The 12,791-nt window shown below is 42.3% G+C and overlaps 1 protein-coding gene across 8 annotated transcripts in view, besides 1 other annotated feature; it reads right to left on the bottom strand.

The window, feature by feature from the left end:
• Positions 1-12,791, bottom strand: part of PRKCE (protein kinase C epsilon) — a 536,712-nt gene that overhangs the window by 514,821 nt on the left and 9,100 nt on the right. The window lies entirely within an intron of this gene.
• Positions 192-403: a silencer, noted in NCBI's record as "fragment chr2:45899906-45900117 (GRCh37/hg19 assembly coordinates)". NCBI's record gives its function as "represses an EF-1alpha promoter that drives an FKBP-Casp9 reporter gene in an ReSE screen in phorbol 12-myristate 13-acetate-treated (for megakaryocytic differentiation) K562 erythroleukemia cells {active_cell/tissue: K562(+PMA)}" and the evidence as "EXISTENCE:reporter gene assay evidence [ECO:0000049][PMID:32094911]".

Here is a 12,791-nt window from a genome sequence, read left to right as displayed (position 1 = left end):
TCAAAGTATCCTGACACTCCAGAGAGTTCAGAAAGTAGGGGGAACAAAAACAATGTAACCCAAAAAAAGGAGTGGAGGAGTCTTTAAAAAAAAATCTCTCACTGTGGTTTTTGGTTTGTTTGTTTGTTTTTATTAGAGACAGGGACTTGCTCTGTTGCTCTGCTGCCCAGGCTGGAGTAGAGTGGTGCCATCATAGCTCACCACAGCCTCAAACTCCTGGGCTCATGCAGTCTTCCTGCCTCAGCCTCCTGGAGCAGCTGAGACTACAAATGCATGCCACCACACCCAGCTAATTTTTAAAAATTTTTTTAGAGACTGGCTCTTACTACGTTGCCCAGGCTGGTCTCAAACTCCTGGCTCAAGCTATCCTCCCACCTCAGCCTCTCACAGTGCTGGGATTACAGGCGTGAGGCACTGTGTTCAGTCCCTTATGGCAGTTTTTACCATCCTCTTGACATGTAAAGACCAGCCACTGAGGGACAGACAAATGGTAATCTCAACCAAATAGACAAGTTTCAGGTTTTATCAGCCCACAGGGTAGTCTGGTCAATTGCCGCAACCTCAGTCAATAGCTGAAAAGCAAATTGAAAATAATAATGATAATAATAAATCAGACTCCCTTACTAAAAATTTTAGACACATGGCATTAGCATCAACTATATGACCAATAAACTGACAGGCTGTCTGGCTGCCTGGCTGTCCAGCTGGCTGGCTGGCTGGCTGGATGGATGGATGGAGAGATAGATGAATAGATGGATGGATGGATACATAGATGGATGGATGGATGGATGTAGAGATGGATGAATGAATGGATGAATGAAGAGATGGATGGACGAATTGATGGGTGGATGGATGGATGGATATAGAGATGGATGAATGGATGGGTGGGTGGATGGATGGATGGATGGATGGATGGATGGATGCATAGACAGATGGATGGATGTAGAGATGGATGAATGATGGAAGCATGATGGATGAATGGTGACTGGATGCAGCATGATATAGCAATGTAAGTACCTTACTAGGAATCAGGAAACCTGTTTACTCATACTTTTTCTGTCTCTACTGGATTTTTTCCTTTCCTCTTTTTTTTTTTTTTTTTTTTGAGACAGGGGGTCTCACTCTGCCACCCAAGCTAGAGTACAGTGGCATAATCATGGCTCATTGTACCTTTGACCTTTTAGGCTCAAGTGATCCTCCTGCCTCAGCCTCCCAAGTAGCCGGGGCCACAGGTGCATGCCGTCATGCCTAGATAATTTGTAAAATGTTTTTGTAGAGACAGTGTCTTGCCATGTTGGCCAGGCTGGTCTTGACCTCAAGCAATCCCCCTGCCTCGGCCTCGCAAAGTGCTTGGATTACAGGTGTGAACCACCATACCTGTCCTCTACTGGATTTTTTTTTTACTTTGATCAAGTCACTAAACTTCTGAACTCTTATATTTTTATGTAGAAATGAAGATTTAATGAATATCTCTTATTATATAGCAGATTTACATTTTTTCAATTGGAGGTAAAATGGTCTACGAACCTTTCCCCTACCTAATCTTCTCTAAGAGAAAGAAAGTGAGAGAAGGCTGGTGGGGGGAGGCAGAGGGGAATGGAAGGCAAAGAATAAGGTAGGAAGGAAAGAACAAAAGAAGAAATTTTGATTCATTTGATTGCCTTTTTAAATAGAGCTTAAATGCATAAATGGATAATGGTATTAAATGTGTAATGGTACTGATATCAATACCTTCTAGGCCAGGCCCTAGGCCTCCTGTACCTAGTGTGTTTGGGAGACTATATACCCGTGCATGTGCAGTAAAAAACCTTTGTCCTAAAAAGCAAGACATCCAGGTGCTCATTCATCTGCCTTGGCCCCCAATTCATCATTTAACTTCCCTGGGTCTTGTCCTGAAATGTCAAATTAAGAGGAATATCTTAATTCCCGCTTTGAATATATTCACTACCATACAAGTTTGATGGGAGAATCAAAAGAAAACAGTACAAATTGTTGAATAAATGTATCCCCATTGTGCAGTCTCCTGAGGGGTAAGGCCGCAAACACCTTATCTTCCAAAGATGCTGCATTCCTGATCAGAAGGTACAAAACTCTCCAGTGCCAGTTGAAGTATGGCTAGAGCTGAGGAAACCCGCCTTGTATTACAGGGCATGAACTAAGCTCTCTGACCTTGAATTTCCAACAATTCAACCCAGGAACCCTGAAGCACCACTATCTGATGTTGAATGCCACTTGCAGGGGTTTCAAGAGATGGGGGCTTTCAGGCCACAGAAGGTATTTCTGTTCATCAGGGCACTGCAGCATTATTTGTCGTCAGAGACTTGTTTACTAAGGAGTAGTCAGGCAGGTTTCTCAGAACCAGTCTATCCGATCCATCCTTCAAGGCCTAGGTCAAAAGCCACCTCCTCTACAAATCCTTCGTCAGTCTTTCCCTGGGGAATGATAACATATTTGCTTTTATGGAATTGTTTGGGTTAGTAAAATGTAAGTTTATTGAGTGCAGGGAACCCTATCCTCTTTACTTTCTTTTCTCCATGTTACTGGTACTCATTAAAATTAGATTGAATGAGAAACTGTGTTCTGGGGCAATATTTCTCAATGTTTTTTTAAACTGGGACTCACAGTAAGAATTAAGATCATACGTACTCACATAAATAAAACTGAAATAGGAGTTTTATAAGGCAATATTTATTCATATTGCATACAAAGCATTCTGATAATGTGTATATTGTTCAATTTTCATATTTAAAATTGTTGTAGAGATCCACGCAATTGATTTCATCAACTTCATTGAGGGTCCTGACCCAGAGTTTGAAAACCAATAGCCTAGACAGGATATGCCTTTATTCTCTTTTTCTCACGTCTTTCTCCTTCAGAAAGAAAAATGGAGCCTATACAAAAAGCATATTAAACCCTAAAGGTTCTTAACAGATTTAAATTTGGAAAGAGTCAGATGATGCCTCACTTTCCTAAAATTCAAATCCCATTAGAGAAGGCACGCGGCCGACTTACTGGGTGGGGGTGTCCATAGAGCCACCTCTTCAGCTAGCAGAGGCAAATTACTTAAATAATATTAGTGCGTCACACATCTATGTATGACTGATAACTAATAACAGACTTGATCGTCTTGATTATATAAATTTTATTTTATTTTATTTTGAGACTGAGTCTCACTCTGTTGCCCAGGCTGGAGTGCAGTGGTGCAATCTCAGCTCACTGCAACCTCTGCCTCCTGGGTTCAAGTGATTCTCGTGCCTCAGCCCCCAAAATAGCTGGGATTACTGGCACCTGCCTCCATGCCTGGCTAATTTTTGTATTTTTAGTAGAGACGGGGTTTCGCCATGTTGGCCAGGCTGGTCTTGAACTCCTGACATCAAGTGATACGCCCACCTTGGCCTCCCCAAGTTCTGGAATTACAGGCATGAGCCACCATGCCCGGCCGATATACATTTTAATTTTCACAGATACTACCTTTTTGCTTTCCAAAAAGGTGCCGCTAATTTATATTTCTACGAACAGAGTAGGACAAGGCCTAGTTTCTTCCTGCCCTCCCTGAAACTGATGTGATCAGATCAGTCTTTTCAAGTAGCCATTTCTCCCTTTTTTATACCTTGGGGACAAGCACCAGGACCTCTCTATTGGAGCCCCCACTGTATCAAGCTCAGTCCAGTCCCAGGCACAGAGCAGAGGCTTCAGCCACGCTGCGCGGTAAGAGAACACAGCCCAGCACTGAGGCTGGCCACATGAGAGACTTGTGAAGGAGTGCTCCCTCCGGGTTCTAAAACACATTCCTGATGGGCCTAATTCATTCTCCAGGCGAAAAGGAGGCTTTCTTAGTCTAAAACACTGCTGTAAATCCCACCCACAAGGGGACAGCCACATGACTCCATTTTCCTGCTTGTTTCTGAATCACTGTCTTATCTGTCTTCCTCCCCTTTTCCCCTTAAAATAGTTGGCTTTACGGTTGTCTGTGCACAGTCATATGATAAGCAGTGATAAAGAAAAATTTTTAAAGAGCCAAGTAGGGATAAGGAAGCAATGAGAAAGAGACACGTTCTCTTGTGTGAGGGGGTGGGCTTCTAAGACACAAGTTTCCTAGAAACAAAACCCACAGATTAATTTTAAATCTTCAGTCCCAACAATGTGAAAGAATGAGGCAGACTATTTGGCTAAGAAACCCAAATGTTGCTTAGTGTGATCAGGGACTTGGGGAAATAAGGTCTGAGTCCCATTCTAGTCCCTACCAAGAGGCACCCTTTATCCTCGGTTTCTCCATTTGTAAACTGTATACGAAAGGGCCGTCCCCCTCCCTGAATCCCAAAGTGGTTCATCACTATTACTTACATGTGTGTGACATGTTTTTCTTTTCGGATGCATATTAAATGAGTCTCACAACTCCGTGAGATAAGCAGGGCCAATGTGACTATTCCCATTTTACAGCTGAGGAAGCTGGAGCTCAGAGAGGTTTCAGCTTCATCAAGGTCACACAGCTCATTAGCACCGAGAGGGTGAAAAGTGAACTAGCAAACTGTGAATGTAGTACTTTATGAATATATGCTAGCCTATAAATGCTTGACAGTGGGCAGCAAATAGACATTTGGCAAACCACAGCCATTTCCTATGTAACTCATTATAAGGAGAAAGACCATCCGTCTAGGACACACCACTGAGATGACAAGCAACCCCTAGCCCCAAGTAACTGTCGGACATAAAGAATTATAAACCAAATGGATTCTTCGACAATATCTTCAGTCCCAAACCACATCATCCACAATTTATATTTTACAATAGTATTATAATAGCAATAGCAAACATTTTTGTGTGTTCTATCACATGACAAGCACTTTTCTCACCCAGGCTGGAGTGCATTGGCGCCATCTCAGTCACTGCAGCTTCCACCTCCCAGGTTCAAGCGATTCTCCTGCCTCAGCCTCCTGAGTAGCTGAGAGTACAGGCGCTCACCACCATCCCCGGCTAATTTTTGTATTTTTAGTACAGACGGGGTTTCTCCATGTTGGCCAGGCTGGTCTCGAACTCCTGACCTCAAGTGATACAACCGCCTCGGCCTCTCAAAGTGCTGGGATTCCAGACATAAGCCACCGTGCCCAGCCGTGACAAGAACTTTTCTATGCACTTTCTATGCATTATATTATTTATTTCAAACACAATTAGATAGATAGTACTGACTTAGTTTTACAGATGAAGAAACCTCAGAGAGGTTACACAACTTGTCAAAAGGTCACACGACTGGTTCAGTGGTGGGACCAGGATTAGAATCCATCTCCCTGTCATATAAAGCCCTTCCACTTAACCACAGTGCCACTTGGTTCCATATCTGGTGGTTGTGCTGCATCCTTTTTCACTTTTTTTTTTTTGAAGTTAAAACATATATAATAACAAGGAAAACTAGGTGTGGAGGTGAGGGGGTATATGGGAACTCAGTACTTTCTGCCCTATTTTTTTATAAACCTAAAACTGCTCTAAAAAATAAACATAACTAATTTTTAACAATAATGCTGAAGTAAAAGATAAAAATCCTCCTCATGTGTTGGCCTTTTCCTTTTTTAAAGTTCATACAGGTGTGTGCGTGCATGCAATTTTTTTTACAATACTACACTCTCTTCAGTTATGGAAGAAAGGAGAATACCCTAGTGCAAATACCCAAAGGAAGTCTATTATTTAGATCAATATTATAAATTCATGTTAAAATTTTACTTAACCAGGCTGGGCATGGTGGCTCACGCCTATAATCCCAGCACTTTGGGAGGCCGAAGTGAGAGGATCACTTGATGCCAGGAGTTTGAGATCAGCCTGGGGAACACAGTGAGACTCCATCTCGATAAAAAAAAATTTTTTTTTGAGACAGAGTCTCAACCTGTTACCCAGGCTGGAGTGCAGTGGTGTGATCTCGGCTCACCGCAACCTCCCCCTCCAGGGTTCAAGCTATTCTCGTGCCTCAGCCTCCCAAGTAGCTGGGATTACAGGTGTGTGCCACCACATCCGGCTACTTTTTGTATTTTTAGTAGAGATGGGGTTTCACCATGTTGGCCAGGCTGGTCTCGAACTCCTGACCTCAGGTGATTCGCCCGCCCCGGCCTCCCAAAGTGCTGGGATTACAGGCATGAGCCACTGTACCCAGCCTCTACAAAAAACTTTTAAAAATTAGCTAGGCATGGTAGTGTGTGCCTATAATCCCAGCTACTTGGGAGGCTGAGGCAAGAGGATCCCTTGACCCCATGAGTTCAAGGTTGCAGTGAGTTATGATCACACCACTGCATTCTAGCCTGGGTGACAGAGGAAGACCCCCACTTAAATAAATTTGTTTTTAAATTTAACCAATCAAGCATCTGTTATGTGTGGGGCAATATGCCAAGCATTAGCACAAAAAGGCAGGAGTTTTACCCTCAGGAACAGACCTCTTCTGTGTCTGCTAAAGAAAAGAGAGAAAGCATCAACACTGGGCATCAGTAATTTTAAACGGAGGGCACAAACAGTAAATGTTACCGCAATTCCAAGAGCCAAAAGAGCTGTAGCCTGGAGAATTCTGGGAATGATCGCCCAAAGAGAAGGGGATTTGGATGGCTGGTTAGAGTATCCCAGGGATGGGGATATGGGAGAGCAGAGCACAAAGAAGGGATAGAAAGAGTTTGGGTATGAAAGTTAGAAACAAGCCCTCAAGCAGAAGGTTCCTACCCCAGAGGATAAGAGATCCACCTGGCAGAAAATGGAAGCCGGGGAGGTGCAAACCACACAGGGCCCTGGATGTCTGGAGGGATGAGCAGACTTCACTATGTAGGCAACTGGGGCTGGCAGGAGACAATGGTGGGTTCTGAGCAACCGGAAGGGTATTTAGTGCCATGATCCCCACACAACTCATACACAAATCCCCTGGATTCCAGGGAACCAGACTAATAAAGATATAAAAACCCCTCCTATAGCTGTCTCCATGAATTAGTACTCAGGCACCTGGAGCTTAAATGGGATATTCTTTTCTAAAACGAAGGAAATATTTTTTAAAACCAGCTAGGTAGTCATGGCCAGGAATTGTGCACCTTCTATGAACAGAGCCCTGATATTCACCATCAGGGGAGGAGAAGGAAGCGGTCCTGTAGCAGGCTAATGGCAGGGAATAAACTTCAAACGTTAAGGTAGGAGGCCTTCTCCATGACTCTAGAAGCCCTAGAAAGGGGTCCCTCATCAAAAATATGTTACCTACTTACACCAAGGCTGGAATTATTTTAACAAGAGGCTACGTTTCCCTCCTCTGCCCTCACAGGGACAAGAGGACAAGCAGATCCATTCCTGGGCATGTTTCATTATTGGGGTAGTGGGAAGCAGAAGCCTAGGTTGCCAGCTTTAGCAAAGAAAAATCGAAGGCCAAGCTAAATTTGAATTGCATATGAACAACAAATACTTTTGTAGTATAAGAATGTCCCATGCAATACCTAGGACATATCTATAGAAAAAAAAGTATTCATTGTTTACCTGCAATTCAAATTTAACTGAGCATCCTGTATTTCCTCTGGCAACTCTGGGCTCAGTGCACCTGCAAGAGAAATAGGATGGTGTCATGAAGAAGCAAAGAAGACAAAGGAGCATGGGTACCAAAGAGAAACTTTTTTTTCTACTTCAAGACGTGGTGACTCTGCAGAAGCTCACAGTTGCTCATCAACTGGGGCAGAGAGTTGATGCTTACTTAAATGCCCAAACATTTCACCTACATCTATCTTATTTAATCCTCACAGCAACTCAACAAACTGCAAAAGATGACTGTTATTAACCCTTTTTTTAAATTAGCAAACAGAAGTTTGAGGAGGTTAAGTGAATTTTCTCAAAGTCACAAAGCTACAAAGCAGAAGAACAAGACCTCCTGCTCTTGGGTGAATTCTGAATGTTTTAAAGGAAGAAAAGGATTTCTATGGTTGCAAAGAAGAAGAAAAAGCAATTTCTGAGAAGTGATCCTCTTCTACTTGCCACATATATTTTTGTTACTTAAATGTAAATTATGTAAAATGAAATCCGAGCTTAAAGATCAAGGCTCTTAACAATTACAAGTAAATGCATATTTCCTCACTGAGAGTACAGTAATCTTTTCAGAAGGCTGGCTATGCTTCAACTCTTGTTACTCTTTAGCAATTCCAACATCGTGGTGGAAAGCAAAGCTTTGCTCTCTAAAGGCAGCACCTTTGTGCACTGCCCAAATTTGGCCCAGGACAACTGAACAATCAGTGTGCACTGCATTAGAGGTTGGGCATATATAAGACTCACATGGTAGGAAAATGAAGTCAGATGCTTTGGCCCAGAGAAATGGGATATACACCTGGACCACACAAAATGGGATGTGAAAAAAAGCCTTAAGCCTCAGTTACCACACTAGGCCCACAAGCTAATGCAGAGGATGTTCAGGTCAAAATGCAACAATGTCTCAGCTTTTCAAATACACAAAAGGGAGCAATGAGACAGATGTCCCCAGTGACTAAGACAGAAGCCAGTCCAAGGGAAGGTAATCCATGTTCCCCTCACCTCCCACCCTAGGAGCTGTTTAAAAAGAACCAAGTGTGAAATTGTAGTTCTGTACACTTGGAATATAGCAAACCCAACTCCTGTTGCTCATTCATTTCCAAGAGGGAGGGACATAAGGACTGGAAAGGTTTTACTGGCAACCCTTCAGTTGGTTATTACTAATAAAATCCCCAAACAGAAGCACAATTTTACCTGCATCTAATAATAAACATTAATCACAGATAATTACCAATAATAAGTAGTTAACCATTGATCGCAAACTTGCTATAAGGTAGCTATTATTCCCATTTTATGGATGAGGAGACTGGTACATATAGGCTAAATTATTTGTCCAATATGCAGCCAAAACTGATAAAACTAGATTTCAAACCGAGGACTAACTCCAAAGCCCATTCTACTAGTTTTAGATCTGTGAACTTGGACAAACCACTATCCAATGACATGAAGGATGCTACAAAGTTATTCTCCATCCCTATCAGACCTATCAATAAACAAACAAAAGAAAATTAATTGGAAATGCAGCATGTGAGATTGTCAGCATAGATTTCCTGGATAATTAAAACTTCAATATATCACTAGTGATTTTGTTCAACACTTTGCTCCAAGCAAAGTTCCTAGAACATAGAAAGTACTCAATATATGTTTGTTGAATGGCTGGTTGGCTAGATGAATGGATAGATTAATGAATGAACATCCATTCTAGCTACTGTTCCCGTTCTTTGGATAGTTTGTTTTGGTTTTTGTTTTTTTAATCGGGCAATTTTTCTGGAGTGCATTCCTACTTTAATCTTAACTGGTCTCCTGACTGCCCTCATAACACAAAATGCTAAAAACTGCCTGTCCAACATTTTCTTTTTTTTTTTTGAGACGGAGTCTCGCTCTGTCACCCAGGCTAGAGCGCAGTGGCGTAACATCGGCTCACTGCAACTTCCGCCTCCTGGGTTCATGCCATTCTCCTGCCTCAGCCTCCCAAGTAGCTGGAACTACAGGTGCCTGCCACCACGCCTGGCTAATTTTTTGTATTTTTAGTAGAGATGGGGTTTCACTGTGTTAGCCAGGATGGTCTCGATCTCTTGACCTTGTGATCCGCCTGCCTCGGCCTCCCAAAGTGCTGGGATTACAGGCGTGAGCTGTCCAACATTTTCTATATTCTTCTTCCAGTTTAGAGGGGCTCCTTTCCCTGTCTATTTAGATCCCATTTTCCTCAAGGCCTGGCTCAAAATATTACCAAGAAGCCTCTGCCAACTAGCAGAACCCACATTAATTCCCCTCTCCTTTGAATTCCCACAGTTCTTCAAATTCACTGTTTTATAAAAGGGTGTTAATCTTGATTTTCCGAATGGCCCACTTGAGAATATCCATTTCTTTTTTCTAATTATAATGTTTTTCAAAATATGTCCACAAAACATGAGTTCTTAATGTTTCCCAAATAAAAGCATTCTATGATGAAATATTTTGGGGACATATCTGGTTAAACAGACGTGTACAACTCGCTTTGCGATAGACCATCTTGAGTCTTTAATACACTAATGTGCATTTGACTCTGTAACATTTCCCAACCTCTTTGATCACAGAGACCTGAAAATAAATAAGGCTCCCACTCCTTGAAAGTCAATCTGGCAAACGCTGGTCAATTATATGCTCCATCTTTAATGGCTGATTGATGATTCTCTCAGCTACCTAAACTGGTTGAGATAATCATCAGTGCAGAAGGCAGGGAGATAGGTTCATACACCTTACATTCTAGGAATTCTGCTTGCTTGCTTGCTTGCTTGCTTGCTTGTTTTCAGAGTACTCTTTGAGTGGCTTAATGATACAGAGAGAGGGCTCCATTTAAGAATTAAATTTATTTTTTGTGGGCCTTGAACAAAGGTAGGTAAAGAAGCAAGCTATCAAAAATAGCTTTGTGATTTCGATCACAACAAAGAAGAAAGGCAAAGAGGGAAAAAAAAAAGCAGGAGCTGGCCCTTTTGCAGGGGAGACAAGGCTAAACTTCATGGAGAATAATAAAGACAAACTATTATCAGGTGCGAAGGTTAACCGTAGCCAAGGCCCAGAATGTAGGGTCCAGGAGCTGAGTCAGGATCATTGTTAACAGGTGCCTTTACAGAGCATCTAGACTATCCTAACTCCTGATTTCACAGCTGGGAAATTAATAGGAGTCACCTGACTCCCCTATTCAATACATTTCATAGAGAGAGAAAAAAAATTAGCCAATCCAGTCCTGAAGAAGTGAGATCTAGGTTTCCCCAGGCTCTGAAAGGATTGTAGTAAGCTGTGCTTCTCGGTTGTAATTTTACAGATCATATATTTATGTTATTCTTTGATTAATGTCGTGTCTCCTAGTAGAGTGTATGCTCTCTGAGAGCAACGACCAGTTCTTGACATAGTGGGCATAGCACCTGGCATATTCAATAAATATTTGCTCAGTGAATGAAAGGACGGCCAGAACAATGAATGAATATACTACTCTGTCCACTGCTTTGAATCTTTTGTGAATTCTTTCTTTTTCAGCACTGTACCAAATGATGAACTTCTAAGAGCACAGACTCAGTCAGTCTGATTAAAGAATACTGACTATTTGAGCTTCTACAAGACAGATCCCAGAGAGCTAAAGGGGGGTAGAGGGGGACACTTCCTGTTCACGAGATGCTTATATCTGCCTGGGGAAAGAAGACTGGCAACAAAAGATGCCATAGTCTGAAAAAACAAATCTATTCAAAAAGGACATAAGCAAAATCAAAGACTATTTTTCTCCTCAATAATTAGTTCTAGATTCACTCATCATGATTTTTTAAAACTCTTCTAGGCTGGGGACAGTAGCTCACGCCTGTAATTCCAGCACTTTGGGAGGCCAAGGCGGGTGGATCATGAGGTGAGGAGATTGAGACCATCATGGCTAACATGGTGAAACCCCTTCCTTACTAAAAATACAAAAAAAAAAAAAAAAATTAGCTGGGCGTGGTGGCGGGCACCTGTAGTCCCAGCTACTCGGGAGGCTGAGGCAGAAGAATGGTGTGAACCCGGGAGGCGGAGCTTGCAGTGAGTAAAGATGGCACCATTGCACTCCAGCCTGGGCGACAGAGCGAGACTCCTTCTAAAAAAAAAAAAAAAAACAAAAAACAAAAAACAAAACAAAACAAAAAAAACTCTTCTTGAAGCCAGGCGCAGTGGCTCACTTCTCTTATATAATCCCAGAATTTTGGGAGGCTGAGGCGGGTGGATCACTTAAGGTCAGGAGTTTAAGACCACCCTGGCCAACATGGTGAAACCCTGTTTCTACTAAAAATACAGAAATTAGTCGGGTGTGGTGGCTCATGCTTGTAATCCCAGCTACTTGGGAGGCTGAGACAGGAGAATCGCTTGAACCCGGGAGGCAGAGGTTGCAGTGATCCGATATCATGCCACTGCACTCCAGCCTGGGCAACAGAGCAAGACTCCATCTCAAATTTTAAAAAACTCTTCTTAAGCTTGATTACATTTTTAGTCTTATCTATCTCTTGGGGTCAGGAGCTCAGTGAGTCTACTCCTTGCTGGCAAATACAGGTGACTTTTCACTAACATAAAACTACCTCTTTGAGACTTCAAGGTGGGGTAGAGGTCAGGGATGAGGAGAGAGGAGATCCTCATTTCAGCATCTGGGTTTCATGATAGGCTTCTGTTTTTCCTCCTCTTCCCCAGCACAGTATTACAGATTTCAGTTATATTTCCTCTGGAGTTTCAATTTTGTTTAGATGTCAGTGAGTTACGATGAATTGTATGTTCCTGTCCTCCTGGTTCTCCCAGCACAGTACAGACTTTTGGCCACTTCACATGGTTTCTGACAGAAAACTAAATCTCAAACAGGTGCAACCATGCTGATTAGCATTATAATAGATTGTAATTACTAACAAGCCCATATATACCCAGAGGAACTTGGAGAGAAATATAATGTTTTGCCAAGTGTAGCTTTTATTTATGTAAAATATTGCAGGCCTGCTCTGGAGTTATTTTAGCCTAAGTGAAACCCCTGGAAGCTTTGTCTGAACATGCTTCAATAGCTCTATGAGTTCAGGCGCCGGAATTTGAAATTTCGTTTCTTGTTGCTGCCAACTACAAAGGGTTTTGTATCTAAAGCCCTGATGAGAATTTGAACTTCATTTAAACTCTGCAAATGGAGGACAAGTGGGCCTTTTTCTTCTTCCCTCACCATGGCACCTGGAATGGGCCCTGGGCACTCAGAGGGTAGAAAATTCCTACTTTTGGGAAATTCAGACTTGACGGAGATT

The sequence above is a fragment of the Homo sapiens genome, chromosome 2 (assembly GCF_000001405.40).
Source record: "Homo sapiens chromosome 2, GRCh38.p14 Primary Assembly".
NCBI classification, from domain to species: Eukaryota; Metazoa; Chordata; class Mammalia; order Primates; family Hominidae; genus Homo; species Homo sapiens.
Note: the sequence above shows the minus strand (reverse complement) of the source record. Positions and strands in the feature narration are given on the sequence as shown.